Source organism: Homo sapiens, chromosome 10, assembly GCF_000001405.40.
Source record: "Homo sapiens chromosome 10, GRCh38.p14 Primary Assembly".
Lineage (NCBI taxonomy): Eukaryota > Metazoa > Chordata > Mammalia > Primates > Hominidae > Homo > Homo sapiens.
In genome coordinates, this window is record NC_000010.11 from 75,777,835 (window position 1) to 75,804,829 (window position 26,995).

The 26,995-nt window shown below is 40.4% G+C and overlaps 1 protein-coding gene across 3 annotated transcripts in view; it reads left to right on the plus strand.

Moving 5' to 3' along the window:
• LRMDA (leucine rich melanocyte differentiation associated) overlaps positions 1–26,995 on the plus strand; it is a 1,128,545-nt gene that overhangs the window by 346,211 nt on the left and 755,339 nt on the right. The window contains exon 1 of one of the 3 annotated variants that reach the window (NM_032024.5): positions 4,927–5,188. The exons of the other annotated variants lie outside the window; for them this stretch is intronic. Coding sequence (NP_114413.1) covers positions 5,142–5,188 — 47 coding nt within the window. The 5' untranslated portion in view covers positions 4,927–5,141. Of the gene's footprint in view, positions 1–4,926; positions 5,189–26,995 lie in introns of those variants that run through there. 3 annotated transcript variants of the gene reach the window in all.

Sequence of the window (26,995 nt, forward strand, 5' to 3'; positions counted from 1 at the left end):
AGCACAAAGCAGGTGCTATAAATATATATTTATATATAACACAGATAGTGAATAGTTATATATAATGCACATATATGCTATATGATGTATAATGTATAATTTATATATTCACACAATTATAAGAGTAAGTTTAACTGGCCCAGCAGGGGAGGGAACAGTAAACACACTATAATCTGATTCATTTCTGGGGAGATCCACCCTAGCCCCAGAGTAGAGATGAATCTTCCCTCTTGTCCATCTATTTCTTTCTTTCTTTTTTTTGAGACAGGGTCTCACTCTGTCACCTAGGCTGGAGTACAGTGACGTGATCTTGGCTCACTGCAACCTCTGCCTCCTGGGTTCTGGTGATTCTCCTGCCTCAGCCCCCTGAGTAGGTGGGACTACAGGTGCACGCCACCATGCCCAGATAATTTTTGTATTTTTAGTAGGGACGGGGTTCCACCATGTTGGCCAAGATGATCTCGAACTCCTGGCCTCAAGTGATCCTCTGACCTCATCCTCCCAAAGTGCTGGGATTACAGACATGAGCCACCATGCCTGGCCTTGTCCGTCTATTTTTTAAGTATTTCAACTTCTGCCACCTTCCCCCTGCTCTGTGAGTATTCCTAGCTCACTGATACTTGCCCGTTAATTGTGAACATCCATGTTATTGGAGGCCAGATCCTGTCTTAATCATGGAAACTTTTCATTCTCTGCTTTCTCTGTAGTCAATCAATGAGGATGGGGGAGGCACCTGTGGTCAGCTTGGCATGGTGCTGCCTGCTGTGGGGTTTACAGAAGTAGGATCAGACATAACTCCTACCTTTAGAGAACTTTCAATGAAACTGGAAAATCAAAATGAACTCTCATGAAATATTTAAGAGCAACACTCACCTGGTTAAAGAGATTAGTCAGTTTATTCACTATCTTGTCACTATTTCCAAGGAATAGACTAGCAGTATCTAAAAGGATGAACTAGAGAAAAGGCAGAAGTGCTTTCTGCCTTGGAGAGGGTTGAGACCAGTGCTGAAGGTCATGGTTTCACAAGAACTTAGCTATTACCTTGGGCCAGAAGGGAAGGGATCCAAGTAGGAATAAATTGGCCTATTTGTAGGAATAAGGGAAGTTCACATTTATCTGGGAATGACTGTGATCAGAGCACCCAGCTAGATGTATGTCTAGTATCATTTAATCCTCCCAGCTAGCCTCTGGAATAGGTGGTATTAAATGGTTCTTTTGTAAAGGTAGGAGAGCTAGGGTTCTGTGATAATAAGTAATATTTTAAAGTATCATAGCCATTAAGTTTGCAGAGCTGAGAAATTTTTACACAAGTCAGCATGACTCTAAAATCTTGTGCTCTTTTCACTTCTGTAAGAAAGGGACACTAGCTACTGTTTTTCTCATTTCAGTTTTGGATGAATTAAGCTAGAAAACATTTATATTTGACCCCTTTTGCCCCTCTCCCCCACCCCAATAAAAGCAAGAAATAACTACCATTGGCCACCACATTCTCCTCTGGGACCAGTAGAGAAAACAGTGATATTATCAGCAAAAGCCTAATTACACTACCCAGGAAAAACAAGAAACCTCCCAAAGTCATGTCCAAGCCAAGCAAAGCTCTGGGAGAAATTCCTGGGACATTCAGCAAGAGCAACCTAAAAGGGCTTTTGAGCAGAAATTGAAGCCAAATAAAAATACTGCATGCTAGCCCTGGGCCCATAAACAGTACTGGAATTGCAGAGCTAGGGCATCATGCTTGGAGTGGTAGCCAAGCCAGGCTAGGCTCTGCTGTTGTAACAAATTAACCCTGAAATCTCAGTGGCTTAACACCACAAGGCTTCGTTTCTTGCTCACCTTATAGGCCCAGTGAGGGTTGGTGTTGAGGGAGCCTGGCTTCTTGTAGTGACTCAGGGATCTGGCTGGATGAAGGCTCTGGCATCTTGTGGCTGTACCTTCTGGATCATGAGACCTCCAAGGTTGCATGGGAGGGGGAGTGAATTGAATAGTGACCCCCCCAGCCCTACAAATTTATGTCTACCTGGAACCTAAGAGTGTGACCTGATTTGGAAATAGATTCTTTGCAGATATAGTTACTTAAGGATCTCGAGATGAAATCATACTGGATTTAGAGTGGACCCTAGATCCAAAAACTGGTGACTTTGTAAGAGAAAGGAGGAGATCTAGACACAGAGACACACAGAGGGAAGAAGGCCATATGAAGATAGGAAGAGATTGGAGTGATGCTGTGGCAAGATGGTTAAGCCGGAGCCACCAGGAATTGGAAGAGCCAGGGAGAGATTCTCCCCTAGGGCCTTTGGAGGGGATGTGACCCTACTGACACTGGATTTTAGATTCCTTGTACCCATAAAAGTGAAAGAATAAATTTCTGTTGTTTTAAGTCATTGCATTTATTGTCATGGCTATAGTAGCTAGTATGGGAGATCTATACTGTGAAGTGACTCACATCCCTTTTTTGCTATATTGACTAGAACTCAAACCAACTGTGAGGGAGAATGTCAAATGTTGCCATCTGTGTGCCCAGGAGAAGGAGAGTGAAACAGGATTTGGTGAACACATGTTCACCCTTGTACTTTGGGTACAGTACCAAGAGTAAGGGATAGAGACCTGGAATATAGATCTCCCTGCTGACAGAGATGCTTTCAGGAGCCATCAGGGAGACCACAGGATCACTGCAGGTCAAAGCAGGACAGCAATAGCTGGAGGACATGGCTCTGAAGGTGAATGTGAGCTATCCATAGTTGACATCAGAGTCCATAGAAATGCAAGAGGAGGGTCAAGCAAAAAAGCAAGAACCCACCCCAACAGACTGGGGATGACATGCAGGTTCTGAGGCCAAACAAGAAGGCACAAGTACTAGGGCCAGTGGGGTCTCATTGCCCCTCACTGGGCAGCTGCTCAGAGGTTGCTTGAGAGCAGGCGAGTCTCCCTGGCTCCCCTTCCTGGGAGTGTGTCAGGATAGTTTTGCTCATCTGTGTGTCTCCAGTTGCTAGCACTGTGTGGGTACCCAGCAAGTGTTGTTGTGTCCTGCCTTTCATCAGGGGCATGTTTGAAACCATAGGCTGTATGATAGCAATTTCAAGCTCAAACTTGCCATTACCTAAAGGAATAAGTCTTAACTCTTTAGTATGATTGGAACTTCCCCCTTGTCCCTGCCAGAGCATGGTGATCTGTCTTGAGCCTCCATGCCTTTGCACCTGGCATCCTCTTTCTCCGAAGTGACCCACTCTTCCTTTTCCACCTTGTGAAGACTTGCCTTGATATCACTGTAGCAGAATCTTCCCTGATTGCCCCAGGTAGTCATACCTTTCCTCATTGACCTCCTCATTGGCCTTTGTATTTAACTTATATGGTGCAGCAATATTGAAATCATTTCTTTATTTTTCTGTTTGCCTCACTTGACTGAATTTTGCATTTTTCATTCACCTCTTTGTCCCAGTGCCTGGCTCATAATAACCTCCGATACATTTTTGTTATAGAAGAAACATCATTTCTCCCAGGGACTCCTTTCAGACAGCTGCAGAAACAACCACTAGTAGTTCTCAGGAATGGAGATGATATTATGATTATTGACTAATTAATTGGTTATTGATTTATTATTCACCATGAGAAATATAGATGGGAGAAATAAATGAGGAAAAAGATCAAAATGGGTTAGAGTATACCGTTTGTGGAGAACAACAATAACAACAGCAAACATTTCTGTATTGATTTAAGATTTATAAAGTGCTTTAATGCGAACATTATCTTATTTGTTCTCATTGTAACACAGTGAGGGAAGCGAGGCTATAACTGTAAATCTTTTTGCTGATACCCCTCATGGATGATTCGATTCACATGCAAACTAGTGAGCAAAGAGGAGAAGAGGAGAAGAAAGGAGGAAAAAAGAGGTTTAGGTAAGGGAAAGTTGCTTTATTTAGTTTCTATTCTTTAATATTCATAACTAATTCTGCGAGGTCAATCTCACCACTCCCATTTTGCAGATGAGATCACAGAGAATTGAGGTGGTAACTTGTTTCAAATCCCCCAGCTGATGAGTAGTAGAGATTGGATTCACACCCAGGTTTTCTCTCTCTCTGAAGCCCTGGTCACCTGTTTGGCCCTGGGGTGATGGGGAGAAGGTTCTGGCTGTGTCTTGGCTATCTCCTGCCTCTCCCTCTGTGGGGAATGTGTTCGAGGATCACAGCTACAGCTTTTCGGATACCCTTTCCTTTGTGAAGCATGTGAGAACCAACATTGCATCTCGGCAAGATTTAAAAGGAATTGTTGATGACCTGCTGAGGTATTTTCATTTTGTTCCTGGAAATGATTAATCTTGAGGCTTTGTGATGGCCTTTGTCACAAATAGCCTTCCTTAATCCATAATTTTCTCACTTTCCTTTAAGGTAATATTTTGCATTTAAGAAATAAAAACAAGCAAAATAATCCTGCTGTGAGGATATGAATGCAGTGTTTGTGTGTGGGGGTGTGTGTGTGTGATGCTGACCAAGGTCTAAATTCACCTGAAATGAATTAGAAAAACCACCTTTTTAAAATAAGTTCAGTTTGTCTTTTTTGCTAACTCTATTTGTCAATCTTACCTCTTCCTTTTATTATTATTTTTTCTTCTTCCTCTTTAGCAGATGGGATGGAATATTTCTGTTTTGTTTTTTATGGGTGATTTTTCACCGGCTTCTTCCACTTTATATTGAGTCACTTAACATCCTGTGAAGCGGAAAGGAGGCCGGTACTTTCAGCCTGAGGTCGGCCAGGGTGCTGCAATTCCGGACAGAGAGATGTTTTTCCCTTGGGTTGGGAATGGCATGTTCTGAGCTTCTTTTGACTTCTAGTCCTCGCTGCCGGTGCAGTTCCAAGTAGAGTCAACATAAAGCCAGGCACTTGTGAGATGGAGACCGGGGCGAAACTGCAAGCAGATGCCCTTTGCTGACTGTTGAAGAAAGAGGATCTGGCTGAAAGACCCGCAACTTTCACTTGTTGAGAACCTTTAGCCAGCGCCGGCGTGCATGTGTTTTAGTTTTATTCTTTTTCCCTTGCCCCCAAAGCCGTGGAGTACCTGCTGTTGCTCTCATGCCTCTTGCCAACAGTGGCATCTGCTCAGTGTAGCCATCAAGAATTTGAATGTCAATATCTTTGCCTTGAAATGAATGGAAAAGTATTTGTCACTCAGCGGCAATCATTCTTCAAATAAAAGGTTAGCCAGACAGGACCCTTAATCAAAGAGTCGGTCTTTTCTGTCAGCAGTGCCTTTTAAATAGCAATGATGAAGGCTGGCTGTCAGGGTAGGACTTGATGAGCGAGATGATTGATCTGCATAAATCATTTTCTTTTAACATTGTCAGTGAAGAGTAAATTGGTGGGACATTTTGGGTATTAGCTGTGTTGAAATTAATATGCAGTATCCTAGGTGTGTCCTCGATCACATAGTCCTCATAAAAGAAGGTAGAAATTAAAAGGAGGCTTTTAGGCATGCATTGTTCTAACAAGAAAGTTGCACCATTCTTACTGCTGTGGTCATCATCTTGCATGCTAAATTCGGAAGTTGAGTGTGTAGCACATTTTACAAGCTCCAAAAGGAATCTAGTTAATTTGGGAATTAGCTAGAGTCAGTAGCATTTAACAACCAGTAAATCTGTAAAGACTTACTGCTCAGAGGCAAAAAAAAAAAAAAAAAAAGTCTGAGAATGGTTTCTGGTTTTATAGGATAGGGTATCTACTACCTAGCATGCTGTTGTAGAAATAGACTCAGCTTTAGATGAGGCTTAGGCTTGAATCCACGTGCCATCCCTCCAAAGTGAGTCTCCTTGACCATGATGTAAGTATTAACCTTTTTGAGTCTGTTTCTTTGTCTCTAAAAATGGGATTTCATTAGTTACCTTGGGTGGATTTGCTTTTGGTATTAAACAGAGCAATCTAGGTGAAAGCGCCAGGCACATTACCTGGGACATGGTGAGCAAGTGCTCAATAAATGTTCATCTCCTCCCTTTCTTTCAATCAAGCGAAATGCCCCAAACCAGCCAAGATGTCAAGATTAAGGATATGCCCTCATGGTCAAAATAAATAATACATTGCCTGGTTTGGGTCATTCTGTATTTACTGGAATATCTTATGGCCATTTTTATGTCAAAAACATATTTCAGCAAGGCAGAAGCAATACCTAATTGCCGAATACTGAAAATAGGGAATGAGGTGGAAGGAATGGGAGAGAAATATGGCCAGGGACACTTGGTTTTTCTTACCATTACACTCTAGATTATGTGTCTGGGTTCATATGATTAAACTCTGAACAAGTGAAACCAATGCAATATAGTGTTGGGATTAAAAGTAGGACTGGTGGAGCCAGATGGCTCAATTCAGATCCCAGATCTTCCGCTTAATGGCTATGTGACTGCAGGTAAGAGAGCTAATTGCCTCCCTGAGCTTGTTTCCTCACCTATAAAATGGGGATAGTAATAGGGTTATCTTACAGTGTTGTTAGGATGATTGAATTAGTATATACAAAACAAAACATGTAAAAGAGTACCTGGTATGTACATGTTAACCATGATTACTATGAATGGTTAGTTGGTTAAGAAAGGTAGATAATGCTGGCCGGGTGCGGTGGCTCACGCCTGTAATTGCAGCACTTTGGGAGGCTGAGGCGGGAGGATCACGAGGTCAGGAGATTGAGATCATCCTGGCTAACACGGTGAAACCCTGTCTCTACTAAAAATACAAAAAATTAGCCGGGCTTGGTGGTGGGTGCCTGTAGTCCCAGCTACTTGGAAGGCTGAGGCAGGAGAATGGCGTGAACCCGGGAGGCGGAGCTTGCAGTGAGTGAGCAGAGATTGCGCCACTGCACTACAGCCTGGCGACAGAGCGAGACTCCATCTCAGAAAAAAAAAAAAAAAGAAACAAAGGTAGATAATGCTGAAATTCAAGTGGGTCAACAGTCTCAAAGGAAGAAACATATTTAGATATAGAAATGCATGATAATGGTATACTGGAGTGAAATACTTGTTTCATTTTGGAGAAACTTGCCTACTGGAGGAATTTTGAGCTAGGCTGATTCCAAAAACATCCATATTGAAGCAAATAGGTTTTGTAGGGTCTTCGGGTAAATAGCCTTTACTTGCTGTGTTGAATGTGAAGGTTAAAGGAACACAGTCTTCTCTAGCCAGATTCTCCATGCGCCTTCTGTAATGGTAAAGTCCACGTCAATCGCTGCTTGTGGGCGTGTGGCATGGACGCGCAGGAGCCTCTGTAACATGCATGTGGCATGCAGCTGCGTGGATTCCTGGAGATTATTGGAGATTTGCCTTCTCTTCATTCTTAGAGATGTGCATTTGTTTTCCTCAACTTGCTTTTAGCTCAGCTGATTGGTTGTATGTGAGCTTTGTGCTCCTCTCCTTTCCTGTCTTCTGAATTTATGCTATTTTGAACTTTTGGTCTGCTTCTGCATAATGAGAGAAGTTGGCAGAAGACAATTCCAGATAAACCTTCACCAAAACTAATGGTTCTGTGGAAGTCCTTGAACGGGTGTGGAGGAGCAAAGCTCTCCCAGTTCCCAGGTGAGCCCAGGGTGGAGATGTAAGACCACACCGAACACTGAGCATGGTCACCAGGCTGCTTTTGAGAAGCGACTGTGAAGCTGTCCTCCTGCAGGGGCATGATGGCTATATTTGAGAATTTCTGGAAAACATTCTCTGCCTCTCTGGCTTGCAATGCTCTTGGGCTGCAGGAGTGGTAAAATTGTGCTGTTAGATTCGTTCCTGATTCCATCCTTATTAGATAAAGCGTGGCCTGTGTTATCTAACTGACTACTTAATGGAGTCCACATTGGGTGTGATATTCTGCTCAAGATTAATTTCGGGTAATGAAGATCTGAAACAAGGTATTTAAGAGCCCCACTAATGTTTCATTTATAGCAATCTATCAAAACGATAGATATTTAGCCTCTTTACTGGATATGAAACATTAACTTAAAGCCAGTGCTGCTTTCTGTGTTAAATACCAGTACCCCTGCCTTCGATTTTATCAAACATTGTGAAAAATCTGCCACCACCTCCCGGAGAACACATATCATGGACTTAGCCTTAAGTTATGATTCTCTGGCACCTTGGACAACTGACCAACCCTAGCTTGGGCCCTGCTTGGGCCTTTTCACATAATGAGTAGAATTCACAAACAAATATTTATCGGGCACATGCTGTGTTCAAGGCCCACTAGACATTGTGAGGGGGACACAAAGTGGACTCAATTTCACTGCATGCGATATGCTGGAAAAGAGATATCTTAGCCCAAGGGGCAGGCTCATTACTCCTAAGTTGGTTATTACATTGTTCAGTTATGAGCAGATGAGGCCTAGAAAAATCTGGGTCGCTTCTCCTCATAACAACTTCCCATTTGGGGCGGTATGAAAAGTGTGGGTTTCCATCAATTCTGATGAGTAGGTGGAGTCCATTCCTCAGCCTTTAGGTGCTCCCCATTGTCCAGGAGCCAACAGTTGGGTATTTGGGGCTCCAGAACAAGTATCCAGGCACCTAAATGGTATCTAGCTAATATTTATTGATGCATTTTTCTAAGGAAAAATGAGCAATTTCCACTTTTCATTTTCAAGCTTAATACTCATGACTGTCCAGTATTATCCTTACCCCTCTCTAGTTTTCTTCTCTTTACTGTTTTTATTGTTCATTGGAAATATGTTGGTTTAGTACCAATTGTGTGCTGTTTTCCTATATGGAATATATTCTTTCTGATTTTTTTCTGATTCAAATGGTATCTATTCTTCAGGGCCTTTCTGAAGACCCGTGTCTTCCTGACCATATTCTCTGTGCAGTTTTTCTTCTTTCCAGGAAGAATTTTGTTTTTCTTCTCTGAATTCATAAACATCAAGGTTTGAATATGCATCCAATGCTTGAACATAGATGATGGTTCTCTAGATATTTTTTTCTATGTGTAATTCATTTTCCTTTTAGGTTACAGCATCTTTAAGAATAGGGACCTATGCTTAATATCTCTTCCATAGCACACACACTACTTTTGGGCACACAAGTTGTACTAAAAGCCTAGTGACTTGACCTGGTCCACAAGGATGAATCCTAAATGGACTTGGCAGTAATTTTGTGTAAGAAAAGGCAGAGGTATCACACAATTGATTTTACAGTGTGTCACTCTCAGTGTAGTGCTTATGACCACCTTGGGGAATGTGAATGAAGCCCCCACTAGATTTGTCTGTGCTGTCGCCAAGGACTTAACCACCAGGTTGCTGTTTGCAGCTGTCTCTGATAGTACATTGGGGTCTATAGACTTGAGTGTCTCTATCTTTTCTGGCTCTTCCGCATGCTTGGTGGTGGTTCGATATTCTGTTTTGTACTTCTTTGATACCGTCTCTGGGGTCCCCTTAATTGGGACACCTTAATCGGGGAGCCCCTGCTGCCTGGGCAGGGGGCTGAAGTCCTGCTGCTTTCCCTCCACATTGTCAGGATTCCTGGGTGTTTCCTGGGTTGGAGACGTCAGCCTGGCGGCATAGCCTGTGCTTTCCCCATTACCTGATCACGTTTCATCAGTGAAACGGGATGTTTCACTGAAGGCTTATCTCAGGAGGCGCCTGAATCTTATTTGACCAGAAATCTTTTTGGCAGTTGGTGAACTTGGTTGGATTCCAGTCTGTCCCTTTCATTGTCAGGACATACCCACAGTGAGGATTTGTGTGCCAGGCGTGTCATTTCTCTGTCTCCTCCAGACCCCCCGCCCTCATGATACTGTTGCCAAAATCAAGGGCCCAACCCCTTACCCCTTAAACATCTTTGCCTTTTAAATTTTGTAAACAATGCTGGAATAAAACATTTTTATTATAACAGATACAAGTAATAGAGATGTTGTAGCAAAGTCTGAAGGTCTCTGTTTTAAGTAGTGTGTAATAGAAAACCAAAATAAGGGGTGGGCGAGGTGGCTTGCGCCTGTAATCCCAGCATTTTGGGAGGCTGAAGAGGGCGGATCATGAGGTCAAAAGATTGAGACCATCCTGGCTAACACGGTGAAACTCCGTTTCTACTAAAAATACAAAAAATTAGCTGGGCATGGTGGTGGGCACCTGTAGTCCCAGCTACTTGGGAGGCTGAGGCAGGAGAATGGCGTGAACCCAGGAGGAGGAGCTTGCAGTGAGCTGAGATCACGCCACTGCACTCCAGCCTGGGCGACAGAGTGAGACTCCGTCTCAAAAACAAAAACAAAAACAAAAATTAGCTGGACGTGGTGGTGGGTGCATGTAATCCTAGCTACTTGGGAGGCTGAGGCAGGAGAATTACTTGAACCCAGGAGGCGGAGGTTGCAGTGAGCTGAGATTGTGCCACCGCACTGCAGCCTGGCAACAGAGCGAGACTCTGTCTCAGAAACAAGAAAATCAAAATAACAGTGGCTTAAAATGGGAGTTTTAGTTTCTTTTACAAAAAGGAACAGATTCAGCCTCTTGTGTTAGCTTCCTGAGGTCAACAGAGACAAGGCTTCTCCTGTCTTTCTGTATCAACATCTTTAGCTGTGGCTTTCATTTTCTAAGACACTTCATGATATAAGGCTGGAGTTCCAGTCATATCATCCAAGTTTTAAGCAGGAAGGAAGAAGAAGGGGAGAGGAAAAGAAAAAGCACATGCTAGCTAGTTGTCCGTCCCATTTTTATGCAGGGACTTATTTGTTTACATTGCTCAGCACTAGCCAGTCATGTGCTAAAGCCAGCTCACCCTAGGTTATGAATGCCAATTGTTACATTTGCCAGAGTTTTTGCAAGCCGATTGTCTTGAGTTTGGTAGCTTGAAATTGGCCATAGTTTTTACACAAGAGAAAATGGTGTAAGAGAGAGCTGTTTGTTAACCATTTACGAGACACAGCTGTTCCTGGCTGTAGGACAGGCGAGGAAATGTAATTTTTAACTTGGTGCATTGCCACACAGAATAAAATCACAGTCCTTTTACTAAAGAAGAAGGGAAAGTGATAATGAATAAGAAAACACTCTTTGCTACATTCTCCCCACTTTGTATTCCACAGACTGGATCTGCTTCCCCTGTTTAGGTTGTTAACTCTTGTCTCCTTTTCAAGTTATGCAACAGTCAACATAGTTTTACATTTGTGTTTCTGCACATGAACCAGCATTTGTGGACAATAGCTTCTTTGAGGTAGATTTGCTAGGTCAAAGGGTATGTGCCCTCTGCTTAACTCTTTATAAAGAACACTCACCAGATGTCTGGTCTGTTTCCTCCTAATGTAGTGTAGTGGTGATGAGCATGGATTTTGGAATCACACATACAGGGTGTGAACACTCATTCAGACACTTCTAGCTGTGTGACTTTGGCCAGCTTACTTAACCTCTGTAAGTGTCAATGTTTTTTTCCATGTAAAATGGGAGTGGGGGATACCATCTGACCCTGCAGGGTTTTGTGACGATGAAATGAGATTGTGACTACATAGCACTTACAGCAGAGCCTGGCAGGTTGTAAACCCACAGTAAATAGTTAGCAGGGGCTTCTGCTCATGGAAAGATACACATGTGTGCAACATACAGTGAGAAGAATGAAAACATGAAACTGGGCCTTGAACATTACATGTAGGGTCGATATGAGTTGTAGAGATGACCAGATTCAGATAGGAAAGCAATGGATGTTTAATGTTCAAACTGGAAAATTATTCATTTCACTGCCCCTAGGGGTAGGTGTGTAAGCTAATTGATGGTTAGAAAAATCCCAGAGTAAACCAGGAATGTCTCTAATTCATAAGTGTATATTATAAATATATTTAAAATCATCTTTATGACAATTCAGTTATGTTTCTTTAGCATATCAGATCCTTTAGTTGTGGAACTTGACAGAAATCAACATAAATGTTCTTTTTCTCTCCCAACTATATTGAACATTGCACAGATGTGTAGTTATTTATCATGAACATGCAAATATTGATGTCCCCAAGGCCCATTCTTTGAATTTCAAACTGCTGTTGCTATATTTGGATGTTGATTAATACGAGTCTTTGCTCTGACACATAGCATGTCTGATTTCAGGACCTCTGAAAGCAGCATAGAGAAGAAAAGAGAAGCTGAGGCTTGATATTCATAGGGATGGACAATAATTGAAGACGTGAATTGCTTTGGGAAAATGGCAGCAGGCAACCAAATATACGAGATGGTTAAGGATATGCCTAGCACAGAACTTTGAGCAGGTAGATTTTCAGTATATCTTTGCTCACTTAAAGAGACAGAAGCTATGGAGAAGAAACAATCACAATGAAAGAATTATTTTAACACTAGTCTAGAACAAGATTTCTTAATCTTGGCCCTATTGACATTTTTGGCTGGATAATTCTGTGTTGTGGGGGCCGTCCTGTGCATTGTAGGGTATTGAGCCACATCCTTGGCTACCCACTAGATGCCAGTTGCATGGCCTTCCTCAAGTTATGATCACAAAAAATGTCTCCAGACCTTGCTAAATGTCTCTGGGTGGAGGGCAGATTCACTCCCAGTTGAGAACTACTGATCTAGAAGAAAGGAAAATTAGATGATATAAAGTAAACAACAATTATATGCTAGACATTTAACCCATTGAGTCCTTGCAACAAGCCTGAATTGCAGATGTTGCTAAAATTATTTTTGTGGAAAGAGAGGTGGGATTCCAAGAAGCTAAGAACATGACCCCAGGTGGGACAGATGGGATCTGAGTCCAAATGTGATGTTCTTTTCCTTGTATTCCTCTCCTTCCTAACTGTATGACATAAACGTAAAGTATCACAAGAGCTTATGCTGCTCCTCTTCTTGGTACCAAGCTCGGCCTTCACTTTCTTATGAAAACCAAAAGCAGTTTTCAAAGAATCATGCACAACTTATATTTGGGTGATTGATCTGATTTGGCATACATTTTGTGGAGAACGTGAACCAGTCTATTCCCCAGTGGAGGGCTGTTGATAAACAAAGAGATATGTAGTCTTTTTAGCATTTCAAGGGCTGTGAGTCTCCTGAGAAAACTCAAACCAGGTCCAAGAGGAGTTACTTTGAGACAAGCTATCTAAGAACTGCAATATCCTCTGTGGGGAAGGTGGCTTTCGTTGTAATGGTTCTTGCAAATATTTCTTAAACCAAATAGGGTTTTCTTCTGGGGAACACTGAGATCAACTATTTGCCTATTTGATCCTCTTGCAGTTAATGTAACAGGTTTAAAACTCTGGTCTCAGCAGAAGGGGCTTCATTCCGAGCTATGGGGGCTAATTCTGTGCAGTGCAGTGTGGGGACAGAGCATCCCACTTTCCACAGTTTGGTGAGGCACTGGCCCTTAGAGGAGAGTTTTTGGGTATACAGCTAATTGTTCTAATTATGTAGTAGTAAAAATCATACCGTCCTGTAGCCGCATATGAATAGTGCACTAGAGTGCTTTCTTAAAAGAGTTGGGATGGGGTTGGGAGGGTCAGGAAATGAAGGGATAAAATTATTGTTAATTCCACCCCCTTGTTATACCATCAAGAGAATAGAAACCAATAAAAGAACTAAATGTTGGCAATCCATAAAATTCCATAAGCAGTAATAAACAAAAGCTGAAACTGTATTGATATACAACCAAACAAGGAAATTATCATTATTTTTTAATAAAGCCATTTATCATCAATAAATACCAAGGGGAATAGGAAAAATTACAAGCACAATGCCATCTTCCATAATTATACCTATTAACAATTTAAAGCATAATTATGTGAGGGAGAAAAACTTTTAGGAAAGCTTTGTGCTGTTTTCTCCACAGAAAAGTCAAATTCTCACACTCCCAGATATTCAGGATTTTCTAAACATTTCAGAATGATTGGTTATGCTTGTCCCAACTTACAGTAGCTTATTTTCTAAGGATCTTTCTAATAATTCAGGCCCTTCCGGCCTCTCCATTACCAGGTTTGTCATCAGCCCTGGAGAAAGGGCTGGGATTCAGGAAAAAGGTATATATGGTAATGATCTGACCGCTTGCTAAATGTCACTGGTCAAGAGGACTTTGTTTAGTGACAAGTTGATTTTGGGATTCCAGGATCTTTTTTTTTTTTTTTTTTTTTGAGATGGAGTCTCACTCTGTTGCCCAGGCTGGAGTGCAGTGGTGCTATCTCGGCTCACTGCAAGCTCTGCCTCCCAGGTTCACGCCATTCTCCTGCCTCAGCCTCTTGAGTAGCTGGGACTGCAGGTGCCCGCCACCACGCCCGGCTAATTTTTTGTATTTTTAGTAGAGATGGGGTTTCACTGTGTTAGTCAGGATGGTCTCCATCTCCTGACCTCGTGATCCCCCGCCTCGGCCTCTCAAAGTGCTGCGGGCGTGAGCCACCTTGCCCGGCCCCAGGATCTTACTTATTTTATCTGAACTAACCCCAGCTGAGCAGCTGCTATTGCCTAAATGACTATGTTCCAGGCCTTGGGGTTACAGAAATAAATGAGGTACTGGTGTTTGTTTGTTTGTTTGTTTGTTTGAGATGGAGTCTCACTCTGTCACCCAGGCTGGAGTGCAGTGGTGCAATCTTGGCTAACTGCAACCTCCGCCTCCCGGGTTCAAGTGATTCCCCTGCCTCAGCCTCCTGAGTAGCTGGGATTACAGGTGCGTCCCACCATGCCTGGCTAATTTTTGTATTTTTAGTAGAGATGGGGTTTCACCATGATGTCCAGGCTGGTCTCGATCTGCTGACCTCATGATCCACCCATCTTGGCCTCCCAAAGTGCTGGGATTACAGGTGTGAGCCACCGTGCCTGGCTGGTGTATTTTTTTAACCATTGAACACCTTACATTCCCAAAGGGAAACAGACCTGTATGCCTGCAGTGGCGAACAGCAGGGTGATTTAAGAGTATGCCTCAGAGCCCACCAGCCAGCCTGGGGTCATAGCCCTGCTCTGAAGCTTATCACTTATGGGAACTTGTACAAATTAATTAATGTTCATATGCCTCTGTGTCCTTATCCACAAAAGAAAAAATAGTAATAATATCTGCTTGTAGGTTGTTATGAGGACTAAATGAGTTGATATATGAAAAGTGCTTAAAAAACTGCCTGGCACCTGGTGAGTGCTATGTAAGTTGGCAGTCATTTAACCTGACAGGGTGAAGTCCTGTGACTTGGTACTTTGGTTCTGGTATGATAGCAGTGGTTGGGGTATTTTGATAGTTTGGGTCTGGTGCAATAGCAAGCTCGTGGTCACGGAAGGCTCTGTGTACAAGAGAATGACTGTCCTGAGTCTTAAAGGGTGAGAATAATAGGAGAGAGTATTCCACACAGGGAAAACCACAGGAGCAAAGGGATAGCATACAGAAACAGTATGATGTGCCTGGCTCTTTATAAGCTATACTCCATCTTCTTAGAGCCTGACACAATTGAGCTGGTGGCAGAGAGAGAGAGGAGGCTGCAGTAGCTGGCAGAGTCTGGTCACAGAGGCTTGAGTTTTTCTTGAGGACAGGAGGGCCCTGTTGAAGGATATTCACTGTGAAGGTGATGGTTAGTCAGATTTCCAGTCTAGATCCATTAGGAAAGCAGTGTACTGGGTTGCTCTAACAAGTGAGAGGGGAGCCGAAGGGAAGGGTTAGGGGCAACTTTTGGAATTTTTATGATTCAGACTTCTACCCAGTAGGACAATATTTCAGCAGGGTTATGCATGTTTGTTGGAAATGAACACCTGGACTGATTGATTCTCAGTTTAATTGTGGTAGTCATTAGTGCTGTTTGGCAAATATCCCAGTTCTCCACTTTCAGGCACATGTATAAACAAATGGTAGGATTGTATTTTCTGGTCCCCTTGTGTGAATGGGGTCACATGAATAGTTCAGGTCCAGGAGTTGTAAGAAAAGTGATATGTTACTTTGTAATCATATCACTGAGTTGTTGCTGAAAGATCTTTCAGAGCTTGCTCTTTTCCCTCTGTCACAGTGACTAGCATCGTTCCAGATAGAGTTGGCTCCATCAGCTGGGTCCTGCAGTACAGATGACATGGAGCAGAACTCCCAGCTGACTCTTGATTAACATGGAGCAGGAGTGAGAAATAAACCGTTATGGTTTTTAAGCCAGGGGTCAGCACACTTTTTCTATAAAGGGCCAGATAGAAAATATTTTAGGCTTTTAGTTTATGGACCATGCAGTCTCTGTCACAACTCCTCAACTCTGTCCCCATAGTGGGAAAACGGCCATAGGAAATATGTGCACACATGGGCATGGCTATGTTCCAATCAACTTTTGTTTACACAAACAGGCAGCAGGCTGCAGTTGACCAGCAGGCTGACTCCTACTTAAGGCACTATGGTTTGGGGGCTATTTGTTACCACCACATAATCAAGCTATTCCTGACTGATACTTTGCCCAACTAGCTTTTCTTTTTAAATACAGGTAAAATTTACATAGAGTGAAATGCACAGATCTTATGTGTGTTATTCAATGATGTTTATAAATGATGCTATGTGATGTTTAATAAATATATACATATTAAGTATATGCTTTATTATGTATCATAAAACTATCCCATTTTATGAATATAGAATTCATTTTCTTGTTGATGGAAATTTGGACTATTTATAGCTTTTGGTCATTATGGATAAAGCTATGAGCATTCATGTGAAAATCTGTGTAGATCTAGATTTTTATTTCTCTTGGATAAATAGCTAGGAGTATAACTGCCAGATCCTGGAGGGGGTGGGTAGATGTAGGTTTAAATTTATGAAAACTGGCCAACAGTTTTTCACTGTGATTGTGCCATTTATACTTCCACCAGGAATGTTTGAGAGTTCTACCTACTCTACATCCTCTCCAACAGTTAGTGTCGTCAGTCTTTTGACTATATTTATTCTATTAGGTATGAAATGGTATCTCACTGTAGTTTTACTCTGTGTCTTCCTGATCACTAATGATGCTGAATGTATTTTCATGAGTTTACTGCCATTTGTATATCAACTTTTGTAAACAGACTGTTCAAGTATTTTGACCATTTAAAAAATTGATTTCTGGTCCTAAGTCCTTTGTCAGATATCTATATATCTACATCCTATGTCTATATTTATTTATTTCAAATTTTTCTTCCAGTTTTTGAGTTGCCCTTTCACTTCTTAAATGGTGCCTTTTGATAAGCAGAAGGTTTTATTTTGATAAATACCTATTTATCATTTTTTTTTTTTGTTAATGCTTTCTGTATCCTAAGAAACCTTTGCCTTCCTTGGGGTTGTGAGATATTCTCTATTTCTTTTTATTACCTTGAGTTTTGGCTTTTATGTTTAGGTCTTTGATCCATGTTGAATTAATTCTCGTGTAGGAGAGTTAAGAATTGGGATTCTGGCTGGGCACAGTGGCTCACACCTGTAATCCCAGCACTTTGGGAGGCTGAGGCAGGTGGATCACGAGGTCAGGAGTTCGAGACCAGCCTGACCAACATGGTGAAACCCTGTCTCTACTAAAAATACAAAAATTAGCTGGGTATGGTGGTGCATGCCTGTAATCTCAGTTATGCAGAAGGCTGAGGCAGAAGAATTGCTTGAACCTGGGAGGTGGAGTTGCAGTGAGCCGAGATTGCACCACTGCACTCCAGCATGGGCGACAGAGCAAGACTCTGTCTCAAAAATAAATAAATAAAATAAAATAAAAGAAGAAAAAGAAAAAGAATTGAGAGTCTGTGTGTATATCTAGTTGTTTCAGCCCCATTTATTATTTTCAACTACACTCCCCCATTCAATTATTTTGGAAACTTTATCAAAAATCAGTTGGCCATGAATGTGTGGGTCTATTATTGTGTTATCTGCTCTGTTCCATTGACCTATTTTTCTACCTTTATGCAATTACCACACTGTCTTGACTACTGTAGCTTTATAGTAAGGATTTAAATTAAGGAGTATGAGTCCTCCAAATTTGTATTTCTTTTGAAGCATCTTTCACCTGTTCTTTGGGTTTCCATATAAACTGAGGTCCTTTGGGTTTCCATATAAATTGAGAACCACCCTGTCAATTAAAAAAGCCTGTGGGGTTTTGATTGGGATTTTATTGACTCTATGAATTTGTGGAATGTTGATATCTTAAGTTTTTCAATCCATAAATGTATTACATCTTTCCATGTATTCAGGTGTTTTGTGTTTTTTTAGTGGAGGTCTTGTACAACTTTAGTTACTTTTATTATTACTTTGTTTCTGATGCTATTATAAATTGAATTAAAAAAATCATTTTCCAGTTCTTTGCTTCTAGTACATAGCAATATTGATTTTTGTATATTAACTTTGTATCTAGCAACCTTGCTAAAGTCACTTACTACTTCTAGTATTTGGTTTTTAAATTCATCAGGAGGTTTTATGTAAGCTATTACATTGTCTAGAAATAAAAAGTTACTTCTTCCCAATTTTATGTATTTTTTTCTTGTTCTTGTCTTATTGCCCTGGCCAGAGGTTCCAGTACAATGATGAACAGAAGAGGTGAGAACAGACATCTTTGCCTCATTCTTAGTATTAGAAGGAAAGTTTTTATTATTTTATCATATGTATTATCTTTGATGTAGAAGTTCTTACATGCCTTTTATCAACTTGAGGAAGTTCCCTTATATTCCTAGTTTATCATGAATGGGTATTGACTTTTTCTGATGCTTTTCAGCCTCTATTGATTATATGGGTTTTCTCCTTTGTTCTGTTATTAATAATATGGTAAAAGCAATTTGTTGATTTTCAAATGTTAAACTCACCTTGCAGTACTCAGATGAGCATCACTTGGTCATCATGTGTTATCCTTTTTGTATATTTCTGGATACAATTTGATAATTGTTATTATTTTTTGAGATAGAGTTTCACTTTTGTCTCCCAGGCTGGAGTGCAGTGGTGTGAACTCGGCTCACTGCAACCTCTGCCTCCCGGGTTCAAGCGATTCTCCTGCCTCAGCCTCCCAGTTAGCTGAGATTACAAGTGCCTGCCACCACGCCTGGCTAATTATAGTATTTTTAGTAGAGATGGGGTTTCGCCATGTTGGCCAGGCTTCTGTTGACCTCAGGTGATCCACCCGCCTTGGCCTCCCAAAGTGCTGGGATTACAGGCATGAGCCACTGTGCCCAGTCAATTTGATAATATTTTGTTAAGGATTTTTTAGTCTATGTTCATGATAAAAAATTGTGGTAATTTTCTTTTCTTGTAATATTTTTGTAAGATTTAGGGATAAGGGTTATCTACTGGCCTCAAGATGAATTGGAAAGTGTTCCTTCCTCCTCTGTGCTCTGAAAGAGTTTGTGTAATTTTGGGTTTTTTTTCTTAAGTTTTTGATAGAATTCACCAATGAAACCCTTTGGGCCTGTCAGTTTTCTTTGTAGAAGGTTTTAAAAATTATTATAACTTTAATTTAATAAATATAGGGTGACTGAAATTTTCTATTTCTTCTTGTGTCAGTTTTGTTAAGTTAATTTTTCAAGGAATTTGTTTACCTAAATTTTTGAATTTATTCGCATAGAATTATTTATAGTGTTACCATATTATCTTTTTAATATCTGTAGGCTCTGCCATTATACCATTTTTCATTTCTGAATTGTTATTTTAGAATTTTTCTCTTAACTAATCTTGCTAGGGGGTTGACAATATTTTTAGCAGCTTTATTTGAGGTACAATTTGCATTACATAAAATTATTTTAAGCATGTTCTTCAGTGATTTTTTTAAAATAAAATCATATAGTTATATAACCATTACCACAATCCAATATTAGAAGATTTCTGTCACCCTTAAAATCCCTTATGTCCATTTGCCGTCACTCTCTATTCCTACCCCCAACTCTAGATAACCAAAACAAGTTACTGTTACAATTGATTTGCTTTTTCTAGACATTCCATACAAATGAAATAATACAATATGTGGTGTTGTGTGTCTGGCTTCTTTCGTTTAGCATAATGGTTTTGAGATTCATTCGTTTTGTGGCATGTATCAGTATTCTGTTCGCTTTTATTGCTCCATAGTGTTTTATTGCATGGATATAGCACATTTAGTTTGTTCATTTGTCAGTTGATGATGAACAATGCTGCCATAAATATTCACATATAAGTCTTGTGTTGACATATATTTCACTTCATTTGGATACATACCTTTGAGTCAAATTGCTGCTAGACTGAATTCTAAAATGACTGCATCTTACATTTATGCCATCAGTATATGAAGATTCCAATTTCTCTACATCCCCCCAACATTTGTTAGTGAGTATATATTTTTATTTTAGCCATTCTAGTGCATGTGACAGTGTATTTCATTGTAGTTTTAATTTGCATTTTTCTAATGACTAATAATATAGAACATTTCCATGTGCTAATTGGCTACTCATATATCTTTTTTTCAAAAAACATTCAAATCCTTTGCCCCTTTTAAAAATTGAATTCTGTTTTTATTACTGAGTTACAAGTGTTCCTTGCATTTTTGTGGATATAATTCCTTTATAAAGTACAGTATATAATTTGTAAATATTTTCTCCCAGCCTGTGGGTTATCTTTTCATTTTTTTATGGTATGTTTTGATGTGCAAAAGTTTTTAATATTGGCAAAGTCCAACTTAACCACTTTTTGCTTTTATAGATAATGCTTTTGGTGTTACATATAAGAAATCCCTGCCGAGGTCATGAAGATTTCTCTCCTAAGTTTATCAATATTATTAATATTTCAAAAGAACCAGCTTTTGCCTTTGTTAATTTTCTCTATTGTTAGTCCAATTTTTATTTCATTGATTTTTCTTCTTTTTACTTACTTTGCTATTTTTCTAGCTTGTTAATATGGAAACTTGTGATTTTAAGCTTTTCATGTTTTCTAATATAAGCATTTAAAGCTATAATTTTTTCTCTTAACTATAATTTGCGCTGCATCCATGGATTATGCTATGTTGTGTTTTTATTAATGTAACATTAAAAATGTTTTAAACATTTTCTTGTGATTTCTTTTTACATCCCTGATGTTTTAGAAGTGTATAGTTTAATTTTCAATTATATGTGTTTTCTAGATATCTTTTTTGTCAAGTTCTGACTTTATTCTATTGTTGACCCTGATCTGATCACTATATACATTACATGTTTTGAAGCATCACTATGTGCTCCATGAATATGTAAAATGGTTGTCAATTAAAAAAACTTAAAAAGAATTTAATTTAGATATTTATTAGGACTTATTTTAATTATCATTATGGCATATGGTCTATGTTCATGAATACATCTTGTGTACTTGAAAATGTGCATTGTGCAATTTTTGGATATAGTGTTCTAAAAATATCAATTAGATTAATTTATTCAGTAGTGTGTCCACATCTACAGTATCTGTACTGGATTTTGTTTTATTAAGAGTTTCTGTGAGTTCTGAGAGAGGCATGTTTATTCTTTATCCACAGGCATGTTTATTCTTTAACCACAATTGTGGATTTATCAATTTTTTCTTTTACCTCTGTCTAGTTTTTGTGTCATCTGTTTTCAAACTTTGTATTTAAGTGCACACATATTTATGATTCGTATGTCTTCCTGATTATCATCATGAAACACCATGTTTAAACCTCTGATCATAGTCTCTGCCTCGAAGCTTACTTTGTCCAATATCAGTGTAGCCATACCACTTTTTTATGTGTACTTTTTTTGCAGCCTATATATGTTTTTTATCCTATTACTTTCAACCTAATTTGGTATTTATATTTTAAATGCATCCTTGTTGATTGCATTTAGTTGGATCTTGGTGTTTTATTCAGTCTGATAATCTTTTTCTTTTTTTTTTTCTTTTGAAATGGAGTCTTGCTCTGTCACCCAGGCTGGAGTGCAGTGGTGCAATCTCGGCTCACTGCAACCTCCGCCTCCCGGGTTCAAGTGATTCTCCTGCCTCAGCCTCCCAAGTAGCTGAGATCACAGGTGTGTGTTACTATTCCTAGCTTTGTGTGTGTGTGTGTGTGTGTGTGTGTGTGTGTGTGTGTGTGTTTAGTAGAGACGGGGTTTCAGCATGTTGACCAGGCTAGTCTTGAACTCCTGGCCTCAAGTGATCCGCTCACCTTGATGGAGTTTATGAAAACTTTTTGATCAGCATGTTGTTTTTTTCCCAAATTGAAGGGAATTTTTGTCCGTTATTTGTTCAAATACTGTTTTTGCCTTATTATTCTCACCCCGATTACACATAAATTAGATCACTTGATATGTTTGCACATTTGACTGTAATTCTGTTATTTTGTTTTAATCTTTTTTCTCCTCTCATTTCTTCAGATTGGATAAATATTTTGACTTCTTTTCAAGTATTATTGATCTTTCTTCAAGTTGAGTGGTCCTTTTTTCCCCCTTGACATTTCCATTTGCTGTTAAGACCATTTATCAATTTCTTCTTTTACCTCTGTCTAGTTTTTGTGTCATCTGTTTTCAAACTTTGTATTTAAGTGCACACATATTTATGATTTGTATGTCTTCCTGATTATCATCATGAAACACCATGTTTAAACCTCTGATCATAGTCTCTGCCTTGAAGCTTACTTTGTCCAATATCAGTTGTAGCCATACCACTTTTTTATGTGTACTTTTTTTGCAGCATATATATATATTTTATCCTATTACTTTCAACCTAATTTGGTATTTATATTTTAAATGCATCCTTGTTGATTGCATTTAGTTGGATCTTGGTGTTTTATTCAGTCTGATAATCTTTTTCTTTTTTTTTTTTCTTTTGAAATGGAGTCTTGCTCTGTCACCCAGGCTGGAGTGCAGTGGTGCAATCTCGGCTCACTCAAACCTCCGCCTCCCGCGTTCAAGTGATTCTTCAAGTGAATTTTTCATTTCAAATATTTTACCTTTCAATTACAGAATTTTGTTTGATGCTTTTTTGTAGTTTCAAATTTTCTGCTGATATTCCCCTATTATGACTCTCTTTCCTTGAGGTTCTTGAAAATATTTATTATAACTTTTTTAAAGTTCTTGATTCCTCATTCAAACATTTGGGTTATCTCAAAATCTGTTTCTGTTGCCTGATTTTTCTTTTGACTGTGAGTCACATTTTTATGTTTCTTTGTATATGTAGCATTTTCCATTGCGTTAATATGTTGCAAGGATTCTGAATTCTGTTATCTCCCCCTGAAAAGTTAAGACTTCTGTTCTAGATTAATTTTTGCACCTACTGGCTGACTACCTTGAACTTGGGAAAGTTTGTTTGTACACTTTGTTAGGGAAGCTCTGTTTCAATTTTGCAATTGATCTTAGTGTAAATTTGTAATCCTAAGGCATACCTGCACTTTAAGGTGTCTTCCTTCAGGAGTTTTCATGCAAAGCTTAAAATATTTACCAAGCGCCTTCACCATGTCAGAATTAAAACTCCAGACCCTGACTTTTTAATGATGGACAGCTTATGAAATATTTGGTAGCTTTTTCAGCCTTTCACCTGTTTGTTTCTGCCAGACTACTTGGACTTCCCTCAAGCATCTACTGTTCAGGGATAAGCCCAGGATTTGTGAGGAGATGTATGCAGATTTCCTCCCTCTGTCACCTGTTCTGTTCTGGTATTTCCCTTCACAATCTCCAACCGCTTTGGCATCCCTGACATCTGGCTTTTCAAGGCAGTGAGACTGAAGCTTTTTCTTGAGTTCTGGCTGCTGTGTCCAGTGCAGACTCTGGAGTGGCCTCAAGGGGAAAAGCCATTTAAACATAGATATCACCCAATATGGTTCTCTTCTTTCAAGGCCATTGGATTGTCTTCTGTTTCTGTCTGCTTTTGGTAGCTTTCCAGTGCCTTCTATTAGTTGTTTATATTTTTCCAAGAGTTTATAATTTTTAACTCTTTATGCATCTGCCTCCTACATGAGGGTCTAGGGAAGAGATCTCCAGGTGGAGGAAAGAGCAAATGAGAAGCCCTGAGCAGGACTGAGATGAATGAGCTGGGGTGGAAGCTGGAGGCCCATGGGCTGGAATGAAGTTTACATCCAGGGATCCCTCTAAGCCATTGAACTTCGGCATTTGCTCTGAGTGAGAGATAAGGAGCTGTCGAATGGCTTCCTTAGAGAAAAAATGTTATCTAATTTTTTGCCTTGTACTCTAGGAAGGCAAGAGAAGAAGCAGGTAGACCAGTTAGGAGGCAGTTATGACTGGTAAGAGATGATGATGATTGATCTGGGTCAAACAAAATGATTTGTTGAGAGCTTCGTATGTGCTGTGTATGATGCTACCCACCTAAGCTAAGCAGCTGTGTTCCCAATCTCCTTCTTGCCTTGGCAGGGGACACAGCTTGAGGACTCTCTTGCTACATAGAAAAACACATGAGGCTGAGCATGGTGGCTCATGCCTGTAATCCCAACACAGGCATGCTGAGGCAGGAGGACTTCTTGAGCTCAGAAGTTCAAGATCAGCCTGGGCAACACAGGGAGACCCCATTTCTACAAAAAATTTAAAAAATTAGCCACATATGGTGGCGTGTACCTGCGATCCTAGCTACTGAGGAGCCTGAGGTGGGAGGATAACTTGAACCTGGGAGGTTTAAGCTGCATTGAGCTGTAATTGTGCCACTGTACTTCATTCTGGGCAACAGAGAGAGACCCTATCTCTAAACACACACACACGCGCACACACACACACACACACACACACACACACAATAGGGAAGGAAACTTGATTAAGGAAGGCCGGTCTAGCATAAAGCTTTGGGTGAAGGATTTACTTGTGTGTGCATATAGCCACATACCTAGCTGTGTAAGTCATTACAAATGTCACCTGGCTAATGTTCATTAATGATTAGCTAATTATAAAGCTGCCGTTCTGTCCTTGGACTGATAGCTGGTTTGTTTTACAGAAGGCAGTATCTTTGGTAGAGTTGCTTTATCATATCAAAAAGGGTAGTGTTGTTTTTTTTTTCTTAGCAATAGCTTCAAGAACGAAGAAGATTAAACAAACACTATCGAATGAAAGAACCAAGCCCAGTACCTGGCACATAATAAGTGCGTAGAAAGCATTACTTGAAATTAGATTTACTGCTTTTTTGATTAAAAAATACTCTTCCAATTTAATGTCTTAAGGGTTCTCTATAAAGAGTACAAATTATAAGTTAAATAAACACTATATTGGACCAAAATCAGAAGTAGAAACTTGCATACCTTCTCTTGATTTGTTAATTACTGAGAAGTTATTTGTGGTCTTGACCTGATGCATGCATTAATACATTATGTGTGTGTGTGTGTGTGTGTGTATATATATATATATATATTTTTTTTTTTTTCTTAGCTCCCTTTACTTCTACCTTCTCTCTTTCACTCTCTCCTTCCTCCCATTCCTCCTATCATTTATTGAGGACTAACCAAATGTTCTAGTCACTGTTCTGGCACTTGACGTGCAGAGCCTCCTGGTAGCCTTCAGTTTAGTGCAGTGATTGAGAGCACAGCCTGAGAGCTGGACCCATTTGCATTCCAGCCCAGCCTCAGCCCCACAAGCTGTGTGATCAGAGGCATTTTACCAAACCTTTCCAAGGCTTGGTTTACTTATCTGTCAAATGAAGATGGTGGTGCAGTTTTCAGGCTGCAAGTGAGTGTGTAAGGTCACTTAGCTCATAATATGGTGACACATTTCACAGGTCTCATGATCAGATGAGGAAGCACATAGTATCATTCGGCCTTTTATACAGGTCCACTGGTTACCTGTTCTTGGTAACAGGGTGAAGGCTGGGGTAACAAGTCCTGCCGGGAGACTGTAAGAGGTTGCATGGCACTGTGGGTCAGAGTAGCATGGATCCAGACCGCCTGCATGTACATTCTGGCTCTGCCACTTATTAGCTGTGTGCCATTGGGCAAATTATTTAACCTCTCTGTGTTTCAGTTTCCTCACCTGTGAGATGGGTTAGTAATGCTACCTATTGCATAGAACTGCAGTGAGGATGAAATGAGTTGACCCATGCAGAGTCCTTAGAGCAGTGACTGGCACTTAGTAAGCTGCATAGAAGTATTGTCTATTAATACTTGCATTGATTGTGAAACATAATTTAGCATTGCTAAGAGGCTGTCTTTTCAGGAGCATGGAGTCCAAGTGCCCATTTCCTGTACATTTGGCTCAGATACCCACCCCTAACCACTGCACGCAGTCTCTTTTCTGTCTGAGTGGGACACATCTCTTTCCCCTGCAGCACAATCACTCTGCCTCCCGCTCCGTCCTGGTCTGCCATCTGCTGACCCATTCGCTGCTCCTGTCACGTCAAAGATAGCGTGGCCTTTGTGGAGTGCCCAGGCAGCGTGTCATGTCCCAGCGCTGTTGTACATCTTGTTTCAGAGATATTTTGCTGTAATGTTCTGTGACCTTTTCCATTGAGTGAGGTAGTTGGAAAGGCACTCAGTAAGGGAAAATTGAGCTGTTTTATTCCTCCCCAAGGAGGCTCCTGTTTCCTTTCCACCATTCATTTGAAAGCTATCATTTTCTTGATTTTATAGCTGAAAAACACCATTGATTCACTGGGTGTTAGATGCTAAGAGTTCTCCTATTGACATGCCTATTGACAGTTTTCAGTATATTCTGCATCTAATTATCACTCTTGGCTAAATGATACACCTTGTGGACTTGAGCGATGGAGTCGATAGCTCTCACCACATTGTTCTAGTGCTGCCTATTGAGCCTGGTGTCACGGCGATGTGATTTATGTGATCAGAAAGAAAATTCCTGTTGGTGTGCTGCATAATTAAAGCAAGCGCAGAGTGACTGGTGACAAAAAATCAGGCCTGCCGATGTCACCCCAAATGAGGAGAGATTTCTAGAGTAAGCAGCTGTGACAGTGAAGAATCTCTCTTGGCATCTTCTGCTTTGCAATTTTCAAGGGTTCGATTTTCCTCCTGGCCCTGGCTGAGGGCTCCTCTTCTCTCCCTTCCTGCTGCATTGTGGTCAGAGCTTCAGTACCTGTGTGCTGCCATTCCGAGGCCTGGGCCGTGGGGCTTGCTCTGGGAGGGGCTCATTGTTGCAGACAGGGGCTGTTCATAGAATTTGGGCTGGCAGCAGCCCACATTTGCAGGTAGGGAAGATAGATGGCTCTAAAATGGCTTGTCCTTTGTATAAGCTGTTTTGAGTTTCTGAGGTTGAGATTAA